Raw genomic sequence first — 22,827 nt, forward strand, 5'->3', positions numbered from 1 at the left:
GTTCAAGACCAGCCCAGGGAACATGGCAAAACCCTGTCTCTATTAAAATAATAATAATAATAATAATAATAAAGGAAAGGAAAGGATTTCCTTGTTAGGTTATAGACATTGGCTAGTCTCATTCTGGAAGGCATGTAAGGATGGCAATGGGACTCTTGGGTTATTGGTGTCTAACCCTAGAATGAATCTCCATGATGGCCAAAAATGTGTTGACCTTGCCAACTTAAGATAGGAAGAGGTTCCTAATGGTTTTATGCCTTTAAATTGAGAGTAGGATGAATTCCTGGGTTATAAGAATTAGTAGAGGCTGGGTATGGTGGCTCACGCCTGTAATCCCAAAACTTAGATGTGCATGGTGGTGCACGTCTGTATTCCCAGCTACTCCAGAGGCTGATGCAGGAGAATTGCTTGAACCCGGGAGGCAGAGGTTGCAGTGAGCCGAGATCGTGCCACTGCGCTCTAGCCTGGGTGACAGAGTGAGACTCTGCTCAAAAAAAAAAAAAAGTATCGGTGGAAACATGCCCAGTGGATCCATTTTGCCTATAGTGGACTACTTTAGGGTCTACTGGTATTTGATTTCTAAAGTAAGAGTTGGGTCTTTCTCAAACATGTAACTCAAGCCAGTTTCAGCAGGATGAGATGTCATTAGTCTCTTGCAAAGAATTGTGACAAAAAAGTGATCCAGTGTTATCTGAACACAAAAACCAAGAGGGAAGATTTGAGTAAAAAACAAACTGGTTATTCCCCATGAAATTTTGAAGCATCTTTGAATTCCCATCATAATGCCCCCAAAGTGTAAAAAGAGAGGGATTGGGTGGGTAAACCAAATATTGAACCTTGGACCATAGCATCCATACTATGGATCACAAGCAAATAAAGTTAATTTTTACAGACAGTTTTGGTCTGGGCTTGCAAGAAAAACAAAATAGGTATTGTCTTTGGTGACATGGAAGAGAGAACTAAATAATAGTGCTGGTTGTTGTGGGTCAGAACTGGAACCCAGGATAACTATGTGAGGATTAAGGATCCTGCAGTAATTCAGTCTGGCAAAATGAGACTGACCAATTATCAGGATGGTCAGTGAATCAGGAATCTTGGGTGCAGACAACATGAGCTATTTTTTTTTTTTTTTTTTTTGAGACAGAGTCTCACTCTGTTGCCCAGGCTGGAGTGCAATGGTGCGATCTCCGCTCACTGCAACCTCCGCCTTCCGGGTTCAAGCAATTCTCCTGCCTCAGCCTCCCGAATAGTGGGGATTACAGACATGCATCACCATGCCCAGTTAATTTTTGTATTTTTAGTAGAGATGGGGTTTCACCATGTTGGCCAGGCTAGTCTTGAAGTCCTGACCTCAGGTGATCCGCCCACCTTGGCCTCCCAAAGTGCTGGGATTACAAGCGTGAGCCACTGCGCCCAGCCAACATGAGCAATTTGAACTGTAATTTCTCTGTTTTTGTATGTGTTAGAAAGAGCACCAGAGATTCATTTCCTGCTTGACAGTGACGTTCTTATGTAAACCTTGCCAAGAGAAACCATCAGGGAGATGGCAGTAGCAGAACTAGAGGGTAGATTTTTGACTTTATGTTCTACTGTTCCAAAGGGGTGAAGCTTTTTAGAGCTTTTCTTTAGAATTAAACCATTAAAGCCTCATCATAGTTTATTAATTCAGTTTCTTCAAAGGTAAAACAGGACACTACTTTACAAGGTTTTTTTATGAGGATAAATGAGATAGTATATGGAGAACATGGAGGAAACTGCTTAGCATATAAATGCTCAATAAATGTAAGCTATTATTACTCATTAGGTCATGCTTCGATCATTTACTGGTATCCCAACCATGTGGCAGATGCCTTGGCACATTTTTTTTGGGGGGGTTGAGCTGGGGGGGATGGGGTCTCACTCTGTTGCCCAGGCTGGAGTGCAGCAGCACAATCATGAGTCACTGCAGGCTTGACATCCCCAGGCTCAAGTGATCCTTCCACCTCAGCCTGCCAAGTAACTGGGACCACAGGTATGGTCCACCAAGCACCGCTCATTTATGTACTTATTCATTTATTTTTATTATTTGTAGAGACAGGGCCTCCCTGCATCGTTCAGGCTGGTCTTGAACTCCTGGGCTCAAGTGATCTGCCTTGGCCTCTCAAAGTGCTGGGATTACAGGCATGAGCAACCATGCCTGGCTGTCACATAGATAAATAAAGCACAAATCTAAGCATGGTTCCAACTGGGAAAGGAAGCCCCAAATCCTGGTAACTTTTAAAAGCCTTGTCCCATGAGTGTGTTTCTTCCAGGAAGGCATTGGTTACCTGGGTGATCAAGCTTCTGTTTTTCATTCCTCCCACAAACTTCCCTTTTTTCTGATGAATGGGCCCTCTTTATGAGTGTTGTGTGTTTCCAGCAGGCCCTTTGCCCTAAAGCTGGACACAAAGGAATGGGAGAGACACCCTGTGAGTAATACAGTGGTTCATGGAAAGGTCCCACTGATGTGGTCCAAGTGGGCTTCAAGGGGGTTGTGGAAAGCAAGCTTGGCCTTGAAACATGAAAAAGATTTAAAAGATAGGGATAGGGATATAAGTAAAGGAATGATAGGTCTACTGGGCATATTGGGCCGAGGGGATGGTGAATGGAAGTCTTGCACCGTAAGTAAGATGTTCGAAGTTTCTCTGTAGGCATTCATTCACCTGGAAATATTAAACTTCACCTCTGTAACAGGATGTTAGCCCAGAAACATGGCCTGAGAAGGGAGGAGGACTGGTTCCTCAAAGACAAGTCAAGGGGCTGTTACAAAAAGAAAAGGGGACAGTTGCCAAATAGGCAAGGAAAAAGTCTGAATCTCAAGTAGGTCTCAGTGTGGTCCTATACCAACATCAGCATCACCTGGGAACTTGTAGCAATGCAAATTCTCGGGCCCCACCTCCTACCTACTAAATCAGCAACTCTGGGAGACATCCATAGATATTTTTAAATTCTACCATCGGCTGTATGTGGTGGCTCACATCTCTAATCCTAATGTTTTGGGAGGCTAAGGCAGGAGGATCACTTGAGCCCAGGAGTTCAAGACTAGCTGGGGCAACATAGCAAGACCCGAGACCCTGCCTCTATTAAAGAAAATTTTTTAAAGAAAATCTACAACCGTGGAATATAGGAATTCTTTTACATTTTTTTTTTAAATGGGGAAACTGAAGATAAAAGGTGAAGTGACTTGCCTAAGTTCAAACAGCTAGCAGGTGGCAAAACTGAGCTTTGAAGGTTGGTTGTATGATTCCAAACCCAGAGTGTGTTTTCACGTCATTACAGTTGGAGAGCTGATCAATATGAGGCACTGTTATCATTATTAGTAATCAGCATTACACGGAAGGAAAGGAAAGGGTTGGGGACGGTGTTTTCAATACAGAGGAGGCTGTGGGGAGGGAACGGGTGAGGCTGCGAGGAAGAAAAGGGCATCCTTGAGTCTTGGAGCATCTAAGTCTGCCCCTCTCTTACCTCTTTGGCCCCATCTAGTTGTATTTTTTAAGCCAACGCCCATTGTGGTGGCCTTTGAAGGGAGGAAGTTGCACATAAGGAGTACCTACCTGTTTGGTGCCAAGGGCTCAAACTCCACCCGTTTGCCCCGTGCCCACAGCGTTGGTGCCACAGGCAGCGTTACATGAGGCTCCGGCCGCTGCTGGCCAGGTCTCCTGCCCACAGCTGGACCTTGGAACTCCGCCCCTTAGGCCCTCCCTCCCCGCCTGGCCCCTCCCCGCTTCCCAAGGTGGCAGTGGCTCCCAGTAAGTCAGAGCTGCGGCCGCGGTGCGGGGAGAGCACAGCGGGGAGGGCGGGAGCCGGCTCTCGGGCGGCGGCGCTGAAGTTTCCTTCCCGCCGCGCTCTCACCCCGGGCTGGCGCCCCGTGCCATGCGGGAGCGCTGGGGCGGCGGGGCAACATGAAGGGCGGCGACAGGGCTTACACCCGAGGTCCCTCTTTGGGGTGGCTCTTTGCTAAGTGCTGCTGTTGCTTCCCGTGTAGAGGTGAGTGGCTGTCGGCGGCCTTGGTGCCTTCTGTTAGCCAGACTGGTCGCGCTCAGCGCGAGGGAGGGTGGTAGGGAGGGAAGGGTTGGGGAGGCCTCTGGGGTAGGCGGATGGGGCTGGGGATCAGGAGGGCGGCGAAGTGAGAGAGTTTGCTGCGATCCGTTTCACAGTTTCCCAGACAGAACGCGCGCGCTCGCTGGCTGGCGGTGAGGTTCTGACTTGGATGCGGAGCTGCTGTTTGGGAACTCAGTCACCTAGCAGCGACTTTGGATGTCAGGGCGCCAGCCTGCTAGGGAGTGGGATGCGGACGCGGGGGTGGGAAGGGGACGCAGAGCCGCGTGTGTCCCTATAGTGGCGGAGAAGTACCTCACCTCTCATTTACACATGGATCTCAGCTGCGGGATTAACGTGTGACTCCTGGCTACAGGAATGTGTTTGACACCTGTCTGTACACCAGGAACTATTTTTGCCAAGTGACAATTTTCTCGTGGGACTGGAGCACATTTTTTTCTGCCTGGGTTTTCACAGGCCAGCGTGGATTTGTAGCTCCGGGCCGGAGCTTGGCTCATTAATTAACAACTCTCTCTGTGCCCAGTTAGGACTGTATTTAATTATTCTGCTAATCTTAACGTCGTGGAAGAGACTTGCAGGAAGCAACCAATTTCCCCCAAAGCAGCCGGCGAACAGGAGGGCGAGAAGGATCACAGAGGGAGGGTTCTCAATTGTGTGGCTTCTTCTGAAAAAAAAAATCAGAACCTTCCCAAATAGGATAAGCAGATGCTCCTAAGGCTGTTCATGTCACTTTAACACACGCTAGGATAGCGGGGGAAGACTGTTTTTGTGTGGGTAGAAATGAGAATGTAGCCCCCTACTTGACATTTGCCCTTTTAAAAAGTTTCACCTTTTGGGCCTCTGGCCTCCACCCCCATTTACAATACCCCACCCAGTCTCCCATCCCATCTGCTATGCAAAATCCTAATGGAACTTTCTGGCTGAGTTACTGGTGAATAAACTTCATCCAAGCCACCTTTCAGCATCCTCTGTGCCACAAACACACAACATAGCCCTGAGAAATTTTCTATCCTGAGCAGATATAAGGTTACCAAAACTAATTAAATCTGAATGACTTTTCCTGCGCGTCATTAAGGTCATAATCTTAGCATCAGATGGTCTCAATCTCTGTATTTAATTAGAGCAGCCTGGAACCGTGTGGTTTTGAGCTCTAGAAACCAGAATTCAGATGAAGAAGGAATGTGAGGGGCCAGGGACCCTCTAAGTCTGATTCAGAAACATTCAAAACCAAGGCTGGGAATTGAGGGAAAGGGGGAATAAAGCGCGGAGGAAGCAGGAAATGGCCAAGGGGAATCTGAGTGGGTGGGTTCGCTCGAAGGCTGCCCTGCTTTCCCCGCAAAGAGTTTCTCTGCAGGATTTCTTGGGAGTCCGTTTCCTGTCAGACAGAATGTGGGGGCTGGGGTGGTGCTTATCTGAAGTCCCCACAGCTGCCTCCTTGAGTCCAGATGTGTGACAGCCCTGGCTGCCCTTCAGGGTAACTCTCTGGGCGTCTTGCTGGCCCTTGCTTTGTTGAGGAATTGCCCGACTTTCACTCTCGCTGTGATGCAGGGGAGGGCTGGGGAGCTGGCTCCAGGGCCTGGTAAGTGCCTCCTGCCTAGGGCCTGTGAAGGCAGTGGCTGCTGGCTCCGTGGCTAGGAGAGGAGGCGTGCGAGTGGCTATCGTAGGAGCGGGAGCTGAAAAGGCTAGCGACCCTCAGATGAAGACTGAGGGAGTCAGAGGTCCAAGCAATGAGACCAGTTTAAAAGGGAAAAGAAGGGTGGCAAGGTGGGTGCCCGGGGCCTTCTCCTGCTTTACTCCTCACTCCCCTAGATCTGAAATGTGTGAAGATGAAAAACGGGCTCATCAGAGGACGATGGTGGGGGAGGTGAGTTAGCCACTCTCCAAAGAAAACTCCTGCCTGTGGCTAGGCTGGGGGTCGTGTCTGAGGTGTTGGGCATGCCCTGAGGCTCCCTCAGGCTCACTCTAACCGAAAACAGTCTCCACTCAGCCTGTAGGCATCAATTTGAAAACAGATTGAAAAGATAAGGTCTGTATTGAGCCTGAGTGCATGGCCCAGAGTCCGTGGACTCTTTGGGAAGAGGCTTGCCCAATTGCAACACCCAAAAGGGCTGAGGGGAGAGTCTTGAGGCTGTCTCTCAAGTGGAGGGTGTGCACTGCAGGGGACTGACTGCCTCCCTTTTCAGTTGAACCAGTTCCTCTGGTCTTAGGGAAAATACAATGGAAAGGCAACCTCCACACTCCACCTTGTAGATAAAGGCGGCCGGTTGTTTGGTCTCTATCCCTTCTCTCTCAGGGAGAACTTGGCTGTCTCCTGCGGCTTGAGTAGCTTGACTCTGAAGCAATGACTCAGAGCCCACTGCTGTGGTTCCCAAGGCAAGGGGACTTGACCATCTGACTTCCAGTCATGCAGGATTTAAAGGATACCTCCTTCTAAAGTCTGAGGAAAAGGACAAAAGTAAAAGAACCAAGAGGAAGTGGAATGTTTTGGCTATTTTTGACTTGAAGCTAAGTGAGCTACATTGGGATTTCTCTGGTGAATTCTGAGTGGTTGTAATTGTCATCACTAGGGTCAGAGTCAAGGATTTAGATAAAGTACCTGTGTGGTCTTTAAATATCACATTTGAGGAAAATATGGATGAATTTCACTGAACTTATCTTTTGATTTGGAAGAGTATGGAAAGCGACTATCTTGTATTTTTCCCTCCACCCCCACCCTCCACTTTTTTTTTTTTTTTTTTTTTTTTTGATACAGGGTCTCACTCTGTTGCCCAGGCTGGAGTGTAGTGGTTTGATCATGGTTCACCACAACCAGGATCTCCTGGGCTCCCACCTCAGCCTCCCAAGTGGCTGGGACCATAGGTGCATGCCACTACCCCAGGCTAATATTTTTATTTTTTGTAGAGACAAGGTCTCACTATGTTGCCAGGCTGGTCTCAAACTTCTGGGCTCAAGTGATCCTACTGCCTCAGCCTCCCAAAATGCTGGGATTACAGGCGTGAACCACTGCACTTAGCCTTTTTGGTTCTATTGAGTATGAGTACAGAAAGCAGGTTTGATGAAAGATGATTTTTCTTCCCTATCTTGAAACTGGTGTTGAAAGGCAGGAAAACTGAAAACCAAGGATAGAAAGGAAATAGATATCGGGTAAGAAGGAAGAAAGAAGGCAAATGCATTTATAACTGCCTTTTTGAAGGTGAAAAACAACCAAAAGTGAGATAATGGCATGCATGTGTCTAAGGGGTGATAAATCATTGATGTCACACTCTGTGGGGAGTTAGTTTTGGGATAGCTTTGACTAGCTAGACTGTCCTTCAAGCCTGAAAAAGTGGGTCAGTTCAGAAAAGATTTCAAATCACCTGGAAATTGCTAAGTTATGTATTGCACTGGAATTTGTGATCAAGGAGCCCAGAGATTTTTCTGACCTTTCTAGGTAGAAGCCAGTTTTAGAGACTTAATTTTGTTTTGAGATGGAGTCTCGCTCTGTCGCCCAGGCTGGAGTGCAGTGGGACAATCTTGGCTCACTGCAACCTCTGCCTCCCAGGTTCAAGCAATTCTCATGCGTCAGCCTCCTGAATAGCTGGGACTACAGGCGTGCACCACCATGCCCGGCTAATTTTTTGTATTTTCAGTAGAGACGGGGTTTCACCATTTTGTCTAGGCTGGTCTTGAACTCCTGACCTCAAGTGATCCACTCCCCTCGGCCTCCCAAAGTACTGGGATTACAGGTGTGAGTCACCGTGCCCAACCAAGAGACTTAAGTTTCTAGTCAACTTTCATTAGCTTTAGGTATGTGGACAAAAGTCCCCTTTTGAAAGCTTTTCCTGATTACCATCCTCCACAGTGTGCATGGGATTTATTTATACTTGTTTATTGCTGTATCATTGTCCTTGCATCCCAAGCCCACGTGCCATTGTGTCTTCACATTTAGACTGAGATAGTCCAGCCACCTGAACATCTCAGAGGTAAAGAGAGGAAGGAGGTGGGACTTACCCAAACTGAATCACTTCACTGGGGAGGTGCAGGGATTGGTTTCTATGATTCTTTCTTTACTTGGGTAGTCCTTCCTGCTTGTCTCTGATGTCATGGGCTTTGGGTAAGTGTATGGGGATTCACAGGGCATCCAAAGGCATTTTTATCTATAACTTTGTCTTATCCTACTTTGTTCCAGAATTCTCAGCCAGAAACCTTATGACTTGACGTAAATATCTCTTCCTTGGTCCTTAAATTAATATAGCCCATTTGATAAATGGAGTTTAATATGTGAAACCGTGACACCAAGTTCCTTTACAAAGGTGTTGGTAACTGCAAAAAGGAACCATTATGACATTCACTGTTGTTGACTTTAATTCACCATCCACTGTAATCCCAGCACTTTGGAAGGCCAAGGCAGGAGGACTGTGTGAGCCCAGGAGATCAAGACCAGCCTGAGCAACATAGGGAGATCCCATCTCTACAAATTAAAATATTAGCTGGGTGTAGTGACATGCACCTGTAGTCCCAGCTACTCGGGAGGTTGAGGTGGGAGGATCGGTTGAGCCCATGAATTCAAGTTTGCAGTGAACTATGATGGCACCACTGCACTCAGCCTGGGTGACAGAGTGAGACCCTGTTTCCAAAAAATAAACAAAAATAAAAATTCACCATCCAGGGGATAAAATCCTTGGGGCCTTGATGTGTATCCTTTTATTTCTTCATCTTCTAGGAAATGCCTTTACCATGATGGAAACTGAATTGATTATTTAGCATATACAGTTGTCCCTCAGTAGCCACAGGGGATTGGTTCCAGGAACCCCTGCGGGTACCAAACTTTAAGGATGTTCAAGTCCCATAGTCGGCCTTATTGAATCTTCAGATACAAAAAGTCAGACCTCTGTGCCCATGGGTTTCGCATCCCACAAATACAGTATTTTTTGTCAGAGTTTGGTGAATCTGAGGATGTAGAACCTGTGGATACACAGGGCCTACTGTATGCTTTTGCGATATGTCTCTTGGTTTTCTTTGCCTCCCAGGGATGTACTCTATTTCTATCTTTCTTTTTTCTTTTTTTCTTTTTTTTAAATTAAATGTCTCAGCAGAATCAACCAGGGATATACTCAACCTGGGAAGAAGTAGCACACATATTTACTGTCTTCAACCCGAATCCTATGCTTCTCTTTCCATGTCTGATTATCTAATCTACTGAATGGTGATAGGTGTATCATTTATTACCTAGATACAGTATCAATTAGTATCTGGATAACAGTACTGACTGCCAGTCAAACCACAGCATGGTAGAAATGGGGGTGTATGAAGGTGGTGGGGTGAGGTGGAGTTTGGAAACTGAAGCTGAATATCCCTCCTGTGGTACAGCTGCATGCCCAACAATCACTGATAATCCTGTAGGCAATGGTTCCATAGGGTATAGGTTCATAAATCCTACCTTGGGAATAAAAGGTGCAAATTATGACTCTGTATCTGTTTTTTAATGCAAAATAACTTTAAAAATAAAAATAAAAAAGCAAGTTGAATGTTGAGGACTTTACTCTTGAGCCCATACAACACTGGGCATACCTTCTGGAGTAGTGTTGCTGATATTCTATTTTGTGGTATTCCTTTTAAGAATCTTCATACTGTTTTCTTCTACCCTAAAAACATTGCCCATCTTTTTGCACTTGATCTTAGCCAAAAGGCCAAGAAGTGATTGCCCATCTTTTTGAAGTGCTACTCTTTCAGTGAGTAGCACATCCTGCCCCTTCCTTCAGACCTAACCCCAGGCTTTTCCTGAAGGAAGGCTCTGGAAAAGGCTGAGGTCTGAAACCTGAGGGTGTCTTCTCAAGCAGAAGGGACTAAATCATGGAAAGCTACAGCCAGAAGGAACACCAGGAATCATTTAATTCCTCCTACTCCTTTTATACAGGAGAAAATGGAGATCCAGCCTTTTAGTAGCAGGATCAGAACTAGCATCCTTTTCTGATATTCTTTCCTCAACTCTTTTTCATTCCTGGGCATGTGGCTTGTCTTCGTCTGAACAGAGGCAGGACTGACCCAACTGAGAAGGGTAGAGATAGTACCCAAACTCTAAATCGGGTGTTGACTGTGTTGATCTGTTGTTTCTGGGGGTGAATGCACTGCCTGGAGCCATTTGGAATTAAATGTACCTGCTTTCAAATGTGGTCTGCTTTCAAGGGACTCTTCTGTCCCAAAACTGAAGATGTCAGAGACCACCATCACATCTCTCTCTCCCAGAGCAGCTTGTACACGTTTTCTTAGTTAATATCTGTTCATGTTTTTCTCTCTGGTTCAACTTAATTCAGGTCCCTTTTCCCCGCCCTTTTTTGTCCTTGTTCTTTCCTTTTCTTTTTTTGAGACAAGGCCTCACTGTGTTGCCCAAGCCGGTCTTGAACTTCTGGACACAAGCAATCCTCTCATCTCTACCTCCCAAAGTGCTGAGGTTACAGGTGTGAGCCACCATGCCCAGCCATTGTCCCTGTTCTTGAAGCTTACCCTTTCACAGTCATTGCATCTTTGAACATTGCTTTTTGTGTAACACAGTGTTTTAATTTATTTGACAAATGTTTATGCTGACTGCATGCCAGCCCTGTGCTAGGTGCTTGGGAGAGTGGACAAGAAGGAATCTAATGACATTTACCCCATTGAGCTGTGAAGATTGGTTAAGACAATGTAAGTAAAGGGCCTAGCATAATGCCAGGCATATAAAGTGCTCTAAAAAAATTAGCTATTAACCATAGCAGTAATTGTAATACTAGACATAGACCCCATCCTCAGGGGACTCCCAGCTAAATATCTGTAGGTCCAGTTGGTGGTAACACTGTAAATGTAAGTTCCAAAGCAATTTAATGGCCCTGGCTCAAACCATTGTCAACAGTGCCTCAGTGCTGTGGAGTTGTCACTGTGGGGAAGAAAACTTGTGATCTAGATGTGTGGTGGGAATTTCCTTTTTAAAAAACTTAATTAGACCAATAAAAAACCACATAACACTTCCAGTGTTGTAATTTCTTTGTGTTACATAAAAGAAGATTCAACAGAAGATACTGGCAAGAGTCTGGGCATAGTGGCTCACACGTGTAATCCCAGCACTCTGGGACGCTGAGGCAGGCAGATCACCTGAGGTTGGGAGTTCAAGACCAGCCTGGCCAACATAGTGAAACCCCCGTCTCTACTAAAAATACAAAAATTACCTGGGTGTGGTGGTGCACGTCTATAACCCCAGCTACTCGGGAGGCTGAGTCAGGAGAATTGCTTGAACCCGGGAAGCAGAGGTTGCAGTGAGCCGAGATAGAGCCACTGCACTCCAGCTTGGGTGACAGAGCAAGACTCCGTCTCAAAGAAACAAAAAAAAAAAAAAAAAAAAGAAAAAATCCTGGCAAGAAGCCTACATATCCCTAAGTTATCCTTCTCTTAGGGGCAACACAAGGTACAAGAACTGGAGAATAGCAACCCGATTTTTGAAGTTTGGATGCTGAGCATCTACATTATAAAAAAAAAAGATAGCCAATTGCTTTTTCTTGCCTGTGCCTTGACTTTGGTTAGCAATATCATTGGAAACGTTTTTCTCTTCTTTTTGGCCAATATTTATTGCACATCTTTTATGTTTGAGGCTTTGTTGGTTCTTCTTCAGACTGTTTTTGCCTAGATAAAAATCATAACCGGCTGCCCTCAGGCCATTATTCCAGCCCCCATGGTGCTGGATGTTTCACTGAGGCTCCACCAGTATCTTCCCCCTCCCTTGTAGGTGAGGCCCACGGGTGGCTTGCCTCCCTGCCTGCTGTAATCAATGACTAATAGAGCATATCTTTTGCTCTTGGCAGAACTGTGTTACAATTCCTGGAAGGAGGGGAACCCTGGTTACACCTGTGAGGCAGCCAGGAGGCTGCCAGGCAGCTTTTGCCAAGTGAAAGAGCAAAGATCAGAGTTACTAAAACAGGTTGTTCCACATTCTTTTTGCCTTTCTGGTGACCACAGTGAGGAAACTGTCAAATTGAAGGGGAGGGAAACCCCTTCTGCTGCTAGGTCAAAGCAGTACCTCCTAAAATGTTTCTGTTTCCAGGTATGTGCTCTTCCCAGCGCAGGATTAGTTGTGGGCTTGTATCTCTTCTTTTACAGCATCTGGTGTGTCATCAGCTGTCAGGATATTCTCAGTTTCTGCTCTCTCTCCATGAGAATCTTCATATTGCTCCTGTGGGGAAAGGGATGTTATCTTTTCCCATTCAAAGGGGAAACCAAGCCTTGTTGTTTAAAAGAATTGCAAACACATTGTTTGCCACACATTTTGTATCTCAGTTTCATATCTGTGCAGTGCTCCTTCTCTTCTTTGTCTGCCTACTCACAGAATGACTTAGAGCAGAAGTTCTCAAAGTGTGGTCACCTGGGAACATGTTACAAATGCAGATTCCCAGGCACCATTGACCACCCTGCCCCGCCTCACCCCACAACTGAGGGATGGGCTCTAGCAGTCTGTGTTTTAATAAGCCCTCCAGGTGGTTGTGGTGCACGCTCAAATTTGAGGACTACTAACTTAGTGCTGCTCACTTGGAGGGAAAAGGTAGATTTCCTCTCAGTCTTGTCTTTTTCTTTTTGATTTGTTCTTTTCTCTCTTTTCTCCCTCCACCCTCCCCTAACCTGCCTCCTCTCCCCAGCTCCAGCAAAACATTCCATAATGGAAGGCTCCCTGTGTCCCTGGGGAATTCTTGGTTTGAGACATTGTAGAGGCCCATTTGCTATTTGCTTTCACAGGGGTGTCAGGGAATAGGAATTAGGAATCAGGAATTATCTATGTCTTCCACGAGCTTAACAGCCCAAAGATCCAGTAAGGGAGGTTGTTGCATCTTTCTTCTCACTTAAGATTACTTTGCTTTTATTTTGTTTTCCTCATTACCCTCTCCCGCCACATTCCCCTGCCAAACGAGGTCTTGCCATATTGCCCAGGCTGGTCTCTAACTCCTGGGTTCAAGTAATCCTCCTACCTCAGCCCTTCAAAGTGTTGGCATTACAGGTGTGAGCCACCACACCCGGCCTCCTCATTACTCTTAAAAGTAACTATGCTGACTACAGAAAAAAATCAAAACTTAGGCAAACAAAAAGACCAAAATAGCATAATCCTAACCATCTAGAGACAACCACTACCTAATCACTTACTATATTCTTTTCCGTATGTTTACCGCTTTTTACTTAAATGGGTTCATTTTTACATGCTGCTTTTATAACTTGCTTTCATTTAATCTTCTGAACATCTTTCCCTATGGATGCATTTCCAGGAATTTTTTTTGGAGACAGAGTCTCGCTCTGTCACCAGGCTGGAGTGCAGTGGCGCAATCTTGACTCACTGCAACCTCCGTTTCCTGGGTTCAAGCTATTCTGCTGCCTCAGCCTCCCAAGTAGCTGGGACTACAGGCGTGCGCCACCACGCCCAACTGATTTTTGAATTTTTAGTAGAGATGGGGTTTCACCATGTTGGCCAGGATGGTCTCGATCTCTTGACCTTGTGATCCGCCTGCCTTGGCCTCCCAAAGTGCTGGGATTACAGGTGTGAGCCACCGCGCCCAGCCTTCCAGGATATTTTCAATGACTATAAAAGTGTTTCATTGCAGACAAGACTTAAACTTGACAACTATTAGTATTAGTTTAATATAATGGTTAAGAGTTCGGTGGGAAGATCCTGGGAAGAGTCCTGGGTTAAGAAATAGATCTTTCCAGGATCAGATTATATAAACAGACTAATTCTTGTCCTGGGACTGACATATCTCCAGTCCCACTTCCCACCTTGCCTTTCTGCAGGACCAGTGAATGATCAGCCTTTATCTCTCCTCCCCAGGAGATCAGCAAGCACTGTGGCTGGAGCCTCAGGATTTACCCCTCCCCTCTTTTTCTTAGTTATGAGGTATTGGGAATCTTCTCACCCTGGGGCCTTCTCATTGTGCAGCTGATGTCACTGAGCAGGTCCAGGGATTTTTCTTTCCTTTTTTCTTTTTCTTTCCTTTTTTTAAATTTTTTTAAAAATTTTATTTATTTATTTTTTTGAGATATACCATGGGAAATAGTTCATTTTTAAATTATTGCAACTAGGAAGAGAACCTTGATTTTTTTTTCTGAGAAAAATCATACATAAATGGGAAAATTTGAAAATACAGATAAGTGAAGATAAAATTATATCACTTAGAGATAACTAGTATTAACACAACATACATTCTTTTGGTCTTTTTTTTCCATGTGTGTTTTTTTTTCTCAGAAATATGATACAGAAGTGTTACAAACTGTTTTCACCTAACATATTGAACGACTTCTACTACATTTTAATGAATGTATTCCATGGTATACTGGAGCCAGCTCAGCTCAGACAGGGATTGTTAAATAGTCAGGATTTCCAGAGCAGATTATTAAACTATTAGTAGCTTGAGATCAGCCATGGTGGGAGTATTTATACCATGGAAGTTACCAGACACCATGAATTGGGGCTTCTTGTTTTATTTAGAGGGCTGGTTTATTAGTATACCACTATATACACATTTTATCATGTAAATGTGATTTGTTCTGATTGAAATAATCTCCCTATTTTAGGTTATTTCTGATTTTTGCTGTTATAAACACTATGTAATGGCAATCATGGATGTCCTAGTACACATCCATAATTACTTCCTTAGGATACATTCCTTGAAATAGTTCCAGAATCAAAGGGTGTCTGGAATTACAAGAACTTGTTACCAAGTACCCTCAGTTTCATACCCTTTGAAAGGAAGAATGTACTATTTTTGTTTTAAGAGGATTTATGAGAAACATCCTCTAGTACCAAGAATTTCATGTCTCTCCTGTTTACTTCTGTTTACATTTTCTGAATGAATTCTTTTTATATAAGGAAATACCCTGGCTGAGAGTATAATAAGCGAATGCCTTTAATTCATAGGATATAGACTGATATGTAGGGTATAAAAAGTATATTTTGTGGCATTCTGGAATGAAAGGCAATATATCATGATGATTACGAACTTGGAATCAGGTGCCAGAATGAATTTGAATCCCAGCTCTGCTGTAACTCTGTGCAAGATACATAAACTCAGATAGAATGATTCTACAAATAGAATGATATCATTTCACTAATTATTAAAAAGTAGAAACAAACAGGTGAAATTAGTTTTATTGTATTGCTTTTAACCCAATAGCTCACAGTTTTTTCATCTCATATTTCATTTCAAAACAATAGCTCCATCTTAAAGAAAAAAAAAAAAAAAGGACCAGGTGCAGTAGCTCATGTCTGTAATCCCAGCACTTTGGGAGGCTGAGGCAGGTGGATCACCTGAGGTCAGCAGTTCGAGGCCAGTCTGACCAACATGGTGAAAATACAAAATTTAACTGGGCATGGTGGTGGTCGCCTGTAATCACAGCTACTTGGGAGGTTGAGGCAGGAGAATCGCTTGAACCCAAGAGGTGGAGGTTGCAGTGAGCCAAAATCGCGCCATTGCACTCCATCCTGGGGGACAAGAGCAAGACTCCGTCTTAAAAACAAACAAACAAAAAAACCCCACAATAGCTCCAAATATCATATCAACATACAATCAATATAAAAATTGAGATGCTTTACATTATTTTTTTGTACCAAGTCTTTGAAATCTGGTGTGTAATTTAAATATACAGTACAGTTTCTTCAGTTTCTTCATCTGGAAGATGAAGACCATGGAATCTCTTCATAGGGTTTTTGCAAGGCTTAGGTGAGTTGATGTATGTAAATCACTTGCACCTGGCCTGTGGTAAATCTAGGTAGGTGTTGGATTATTACTATCATTAATAAGTACATAGGGTCGGGCACGGTGGCCCACGCCTGTAATCCCAACACTTTGGGAGGCCGAGGTGGGTAGATCAGTTGAGGCCAGGAGTTCGAGACCAGCCTGGCCAATATGGCGAAACCCCATCTCTACCAAAAATACAAAAATTAGCCAGGCATTGGTGGTGCATGCCTGTAGTCTCAGCTACTTGGGAGACTGAGGCGTGAGAATCCTTGAACCCGGGAGGCGGAGGTTGCAGTGAGCCAAGTTTGTGCTATGGCACTCCAATCTAGGTGACAGAGCAAGACTCTGTCTTAAAAAAAAACAAAAACAAAAACACAAACAAAACAAAACAACAAAAATAAGTACATAGATGTCTCTGTGGACCTGTGCCAACCATCACATTCAGATGGTTTCATTAATTCCTTAATCAAACAGGAAATTAGGCTGAGCACTTTTTGTGTTGATTCCCAAATATTTGAATACTGTGTGGCAGATATTAGGCTAGTGACATAGAAATCTTAAGATATTTCTCTGCCCCGAGTTGGTCCCAAGTAAACCAAGTTGGGAGCTATTCCATAAATGTGAAACAGTGATAACAAAAAGGGGAAAAAAAGAAAAGAAAAATCAGTTGCTAAAGACAATAAGGGGAACAGTGCTGCGAGGTCCTGCCAGATTGCTGGCTAAAATAATTACGTAGAAGCTGATGTGAGCATAGCAGCCTGGGATGATCTGGGAGGACTCCCCAGGGGATGCAGGGTTCTCACTGCGTGCTAAAGAGCAGGAAGGGGTTTTTAAAGGGCCAAGGACATAGTGGGAGCAAAGCAGCAGGGATATTCAGGGGACCACAGAGGAAAACTTGGTTAGAGCTGCTTTCTAAAGCTGCACTGTCCAATCCAGTAGCCACTGGCCATTTGTGGCTACTGAGGACCTGAAATGAGGCCAGTCCAAATTGAGATATGCTGTATATGTAAATATTTAAAGCATCTCAATTTTTATATTGGTTATATATTGAAATGATATTTGGAGCTATTGTTTTGAAATGAAATATGAGATTAAAAAAAAACTTTTGGAGCTACTGGGTTAAATGTAATGCAATAAAACTAATTTCACCTGTTTGTTTCTACTTTATAATAATTAGTGAAATGATTCCATTCTATCTGTAGTAAATTTTATATATCTCTGTAGAGAAGATAGTGAAGTGTAGGACGGTCCTGCCCTTATGTTTGGAGGAACAGGGAGGGTGGAGTACTGGATCTAGTCTGAGGGAAGACCCAGCTCTTTGGAAGGAATCTGGAGGGCCAAGGACCCCAGTGAATTGGAACTCACTCTCAGGTTCCTGGAACTGTATTTTAGCCACCTGCTCCAGTTTGATTCCACAGAAATCTGTCCCACAGTGGCCACTTGTTTCTGGTATTTACAAACGTCCAGAGGGATTCTGGGGGAAATCAGCTGCTCCTCTGGAGGCCCAAGTCCATCTGAAATCACAGCTTGATTTCCAGAACCTAGGAGAGAGAGGTCCAGCTGGTCTTGATGAAATCAAGGGCTACTCCAATGGCCTGGAATCTCCAAAGAAGGTCGGAAGACTTTCTTGAGACATCCCAAGGGGCTTCCCGTAGCCAGGTGCAAGGTGAAGGTTGACCTGAAGCCAGACCTTGATTGCCAGTGTGCTCTAATTTAATCCAGTCCTGTGAAGTCTTCCCAGAGATCCAGTGAGGCCAGTGGCTGCCAGAGTATTCTGGGGCCTTGCTGGAGGCCTCCTGACTCCTGGTCCCCTCAATAATCAGAAATCTAAAGAGGACAAGGAACTGCTGTCATAATTTTGCAGTGTAGAGGGGCATCATATATAGGTCCTTCTCTCTCTCTTCCCCTCATTACCCCCTCTGTCTCATTCACACACGTTTTGTTTGTTTTTTTGTGTTGTTGTTGTTTGTTTGATGTTGTTTTTGTCATTGTTTTTGAGACAGGTGACATTTGCTCTGTCACCCAGGCTGGAGTGCAGTGGCTCAATCTCGGCTCACTGCAACCTCCGCATCCCAGGCCCAAGCCATCCTCCTACCTAAGCCTCAAGAGTAGCTGGGACCACAGTAGCACGCCACTACGCCTAGCTAATTTCTTATATTTAATAGAGACAAGGTCTTGCCATGTTGGCCAGGCTGGTCTGGAACAGCTGGGCTCAAGCAATCTGCCCACCTCAACCTCCCACAGTGCTGGGATTACAGGTGTAGCCACCACGCCTGGCCTCACACACATTTCTAAGTACTCTCAAGGAAAAGAACAAGATGCTCTGAGACTATCTGGGGACAGGGGTGGGGTGGGGGTTAGATTGGGCAGTCGGGACCCTGCCTGAGGAACTGACATAGCTACCAAGAGTCTTGTTACTACCCCTCTTCTGGCCCGCAAGTGGGTATTATTTGTGTTCTCTACCAAGTTTAAAAAGTATTTCCGAAAGGTTTTGCTAACTACTATGGGAGAACGTAAGGTAGGGAAGTAGAGTAAAAGCGGCATAAAGCTGGATAGCCTTATCATGCTCACATTTTTTAGGACCTTGCTTGAAGCCGACTTGCTTCAAGAGCTCTCCTGCCGTTCTTTGGTCTATAAGAACCTCTGAGGAACCTGTACCTAAGTCACAAAGGATCACTGCCAGGGCTCTTACTTCCTGATTTGCAACCTGAGTCTCGTCATAATTATGTTGGCACTGGGATCCAGATTAAAAGAACCAGAGTCCCATTCCCTGCAACCCACCTTGGCCTTTCCCATCTGTCTCTCATTTCTGTTCTGAGGCATTGCCATCCACAGCTGCTGCCTCCTGCTGCGATAACTGTTATTCAGGGTGTGCTGGCAGGGTTCAGCTGAGTCTGCATGACCCTCTTTGGGCAATGCTGTAGACCTGTTTCTGTAACATTTGGGACGTTGTACTCAGTGGCCTTTACGATCTTTTCCAATTCCCATTCCACAAAGGGATTTAAAAACCAGAGATAATCCTGTTTGTTTACTTGGGTTCTGCTTCAAAGCAGAAGACCTCAATAACCTTTTAAGGTTTTTTCCAGCCTTTCTAATTTTGAAGTTCCCATTTCTTTGGGCTTTGGTTTAGAAATTCTACCCCTTTCCCAATTTAACTTACAGCTTCACCACCAACTAGTGCTTCCATTTTAGAGTGTTAGCAGCCAACTCTGCCAGAGTGTCTATGGGTTCCACACACAGCTTGTTTCCCAGTGAATTCCCAGTGAGGTGGTCAAGTCTAAATTTAAACTATGACCCTTCTACCAGCATATGCAAGCCAGGGCTGCAAGAGCAAAATCAGAACTGAACTGTTCTCAGTGAGATGTGTGTGTAGGAGTTAGAAGAGAAAGTGGGCAAGGCTTCCCAAAAGGTAGACCAGCCGCGGGGAAAGAAGAGCAGGAGTTCAGGGTGAGGATAAGTGCAGTTATCCCAAGGGACTGTTGGAGTTTATTGTAGCATGGCTGGGTCCCTTGGAGAAAGTCAGCCAAACTCACCATCCTCTGTTTCCTCTCATTGTAACATACCAATGGCATAACTCACCTGGGTTTGTCATTACCATGGCTTCTTGCCAAGCATTATGGCACTTGTCTCTTATTCCAAAGTCACAGATCCTTGGTTTATGAGATACAATCTGCACATTATGTTATATTGGTTTCAACTCTTGTTTGGTTGCCTGGCTCACATCTTTATTTGTGTTTTTCTGTATCAATGGGTACGTATTTCAAAGACAGGACAGGGCAGTGGCTATAATTCTGGTTGTGGAATGGCTTTGCCAAGTCAGGTACTAGAAAGTGAAACTGCAAAGCATAGAAACTGATTTAGTTTGTAACGTTTAACTCATTATGATTTAGTGACACCTCCAATTTGTATTTATATTTGTGATTAGCATCCTATACCATGAAATTTATATATATATATATGTGATATCATATATGTGACTATATATGTAGGACATTTTTAGAGTGGCATCAGATGTGATTCAAATAGAGCAATCTTTATTATTCTGTTTGATTGTGATTGCTAACATATATTTTGGAAGTAGCCTAGAGGCAGGTTTGGAGAGGCTACCTTGAGTGCATGTGTTTTTCCAAAATGCCCCAGCTCGAAGTAAAGAGGAAAACCAGATTACAAAGCTTCTGAAGCTGGGGTTCTAGCACTCTCTGAAAGTGCCCAGGGTAGAATCATAAACAGGGCTATGACTAAGAAGGAACATGGGCCAGTTGGCCCTCTTGTGCTCATGCGTCATTTTCTCTAAGTAAGCTAGAGCTTTTTGTGGGCAATTCTCTGTCTTTAGTTCAGACCTCTAAGAGCCAAGCATGGGTTAGGAGGGTCAGACTGAGTCCCCCTCCTGACGTTAGAGCTTACTACATGTATGGCATTAGTCTGGTGACCTAACTTTATGGCAATGTCTTCATCTGCGCACTTGGGGAAATACAGGCATCTATCCCTGAGGGTGGTTGTGAAGATTCAAGTGAAAAAGTATGTGTGTATCACTTAGGGTAGTTCCTGGCTACCTGGTATATGGAATGCACTCAGTAAGTGTTAGCTTGAGAACAGCAACATTCTTCCCATTATCAGACATTTCTCTAACTTATAGGGTAATAGCTTTAAATGAGCCATTATGTAGGATGGAAGTAGATTAATGACTATTTCTCAAAGCTTTTAAGGAAAACAGACTTGTAACCTAGGTCTCAAACTATTGGCCTTTTGCCCAGGTTTTGAGCCCTGGGAGTGTCCGTGTTCAAAACAAGTTGCTGATCTGGTAGATCCTATGGCTGATTCACGATGACAATTGTTATTAAAAAGAGATGGTCTCCTCCCAGTGTGTTGGATTCTTAAGTAATTCTTCAACCAGGTCACTATTAAGGACCTTTATATGTATGTATTAGTTTGTACTATTATCCTGTATTCATGTTCAAAGTTGATGATCTTGGATGTATTCCTTTAGTTTCTACCATTATCTGCTATGCTGTGGTAAATATTCTGCCTTTTACGGCTCAGAAATTTCTATTCTGGCCAGTGTGGTGGCTCATGCCTATAATCCCAGCACTTTGGGAGGCCAAGGTGGGTGGATTGCTTGAGCCCAGGTGTTTGAGACCAGCCTAGGCAACATGGCGAAACCCCATCTCTAGGAAAAAAAAAATAGCTGGGTTTGGTGGCACCCACCTGTAGTCCCAGCTACTCAGTAGGCTGAGGGGGGAGTATGGCTTGAGTGTGGGAGGCAGAGATTATAGTGAGCCAAGATCACACCACTGCACTCCAGCCTGGACAACATAGCAAGACTCTGTCTCAAAAAAAAAAAAAAAAAGAAAAGAAAAATTTCTGTTCTGTTGGCAGCAACCCATCAGAGCTTCTTGTATTCAATAACCATACATACCAGTTTTAGGCAAAAAGAAATGACATTTTGGCTAAATATACTATTGGTTAGATTTATAGTTTGCAGTAGGCTTTTTCCAATAGTGAAAATCACATATAGACCTTCATGTTCAGTAGGAAGGAAGAAGTCAGAAGTCCCCCAAATTGACTTTCCTTGGTGCTGTCTACCCTGAGTTAAGTGATATGCCCATCCTTGAGTTAACGATCCACTGAGTGAAATATTTCTCTTATTGTCGGACCTACCCTGGGAGTGGAGACTCAGCAAGGACAGGGTTTCAACTCACAAAGCTGTGAAATCTGGGGTGCTCCCATGAAGAGAAATGGATGCTGGGGAGATGGATGGGTGCCAGCAGATGTCCTCTATGTCAAGTGTCAACCTAGGACCTGTAGTCTAATGAGAAACTATGATGAGTTTAAGAACTGAAATCCCTCTGCCTTCCCTGTTGTACGTGCCCAGAGGACAGAACTACCAGCTCTTCTAAAGGAGTGAGGGGAATGTGTTCAGGGGAGGCCTTGTGGAAAAGTGACACAGGGCTGGGTCTTAAAGGGTCAGGAGGGATATACTCCATCTAAGTTAGGCAAAGAAAATGGCACCAGGAAGGACATAGAGACCTGGATAGGAATGGAATATCCATGGTAACGATGAACAGGTGTGTGACTGTAGCATCCTTAGGTCTTCAGCTTTTGGGAGTCAGCCTATATGTTTCACAAATGACAAAGCTGAGGCTTAGAGAGATTAAATGATTCTCCCAAGAGTACTTAGTTTGTGTGTTCAGTCCTGGTTTCTTCTCACTTACTCTGCTGGCCCCAGTTAATTCCAGTTTTCGTGGTTTTTTTTTTGTTGTTGTTTTGTTTTGTTTTTGTTTTGTCTTTTAATTACTACAGTGGAATCTAGTGCAATTTCACATCATGTGCCTGAAACCATGGGATGGGTTAGCACTTCCAGAAGCAGCCTTTTCTTGTGGGGTATTATTTTTATTTGCATATGTAAACCCTCTGCCGCCAAAGCTCTTAACACAAGCATTGCCTGGCATACACACACAGACTTTTATACCCTAAATAGCAGAGGCCTGGAAATGTTTGTCTACCTTTGCCAGCATCTGACTGTGATTATCTTTAACCACAGTCACACTTGTTTGTCTCCTAAAATAGTATTGACTCTCCGGAGGAGGCTGTTTCTAGTCTTCAAAGCCCTCCCAGATATCTATCTCCTTCTACCTGCCTCCTCCTGGTAGCCTTGGCAGCCTCTAATTGATTCACTTAATTTTCTTGCTCCGTATGGCAACACTCCTGAATCCTTCCTTAAAATTCACAGACCTCTCCTTGTGGATTTTACCTCCCGGAGCCCACCTGTTGATTCAGGCAACTGAAGTGTGGCTCTGCTTGAGATGTTCCTCAGCTATTCTTCCTTCCTGTCCCTGGCTCTCCCTACAGGTCATGCCAATATGCAGGTGTCGACTTCCCCAGAGGATAGTAGCCCAAAGGCCAAGCTGTGTCTGACCTATAGGGAGAGACCCAGTCAATTTTTGAAATGGAGCATCTCTCCCCACAACTCTCCCACGAGCATGGATATTAAAAATGTGTGTCCTTGCTTTGAGGTTCTGTCTCAGAGAAAGTC

The 22,827-nt window shown here is 44.5% G+C and overlaps 1 protein-coding gene and 1 long non-coding RNA gene across 37 annotated transcripts in view, besides 3 other annotated features; one reads left to right on the forward strand and one right to left on the reverse strand.

The window, feature by feature from the left end:
• Nucleotides 1-3,658, reverse strand: part of LOC105374076 (uncharacterized) — a 39,318-nt gene extending 35,660 nt beyond the window's left edge. For all 3 annotated transcript variants that reach the window (XR_001740872.2, XR_007096040.1, XR_007096041.1), the window contains exon 1: nucleotides 3,573-3,658. This is a non-coding gene — a long non-coding RNA (uncharacterized LOC105374076). The remainder of the gene's footprint in view (nucleotides 1-3,572) is intronic.
• KALRN (kalirin RhoGEF kinase) overlaps nucleotides 1-22,827 on the forward strand; it is a 692,957-nt gene that overhangs the window by 547,533 nt on the left and 122,597 nt on the right. For 10 of the 34 annotated variants that reach the window (NM_007064.5, NM_001322993.2, NM_001322995.2 and 7 more), the window contains exon 1: nucleotides 3,757-4,005. The exons of the other annotated variants lie outside the window; for them this stretch is intronic. In NM_007064.5, the coding sequence (NP_008995.2) occupies nucleotides 3,921-4,005 (85 nt within the window). In that variant the 5' untranslated portion in view covers nucleotides 3,757-3,920. Of the gene's footprint in view, nucleotides 1-3,756; nucleotides 4,006-22,827 lie in introns of those variants that run through there. 34 annotated transcript variants of the gene reach the window in all.
• Nucleotides 3,882-4,061: a silencer, noted in NCBI's record as "silent region_14653". NCBI's record gives its function as "represses an Ori minimal core promoter by ATAC-STARR-seq in GM12878 lymphoblastoid cells {active_cell/tissue: GM12878}" and the evidence as "EXISTENCE:reporter gene assay evidence [ECO:0000049][PMID:35858748]".
• Nucleotides 12,160-12,239: an enhancer, noted in NCBI's record as "active region_20397". NCBI's record gives its function as "activates an Ori minimal core promoter by ATAC-STARR-seq in GM12878 lymphoblastoid cells {active_cell/tissue: GM12878}" and the evidence as "EXISTENCE:reporter gene assay evidence [ECO:0000049][PMID:35858748]".
• Nucleotides 12,420-12,539: an enhancer, noted in NCBI's record as "active region_20398". NCBI's record gives its function as "activates an Ori minimal core promoter by ATAC-STARR-seq in GM12878 lymphoblastoid cells {active_cell/tissue: GM12878}" and the evidence as "EXISTENCE:reporter gene assay evidence [ECO:0000049][PMID:35858748]".

This window comes from Homo sapiens, chromosome 3 (genome assembly GCF_000001405.40).
Source record: "Homo sapiens chromosome 3, GRCh38.p14 Primary Assembly".
Taxonomy (NCBI): Eukaryota; Metazoa; Chordata; class Mammalia; order Primates; family Hominidae; genus Homo; species Homo sapiens.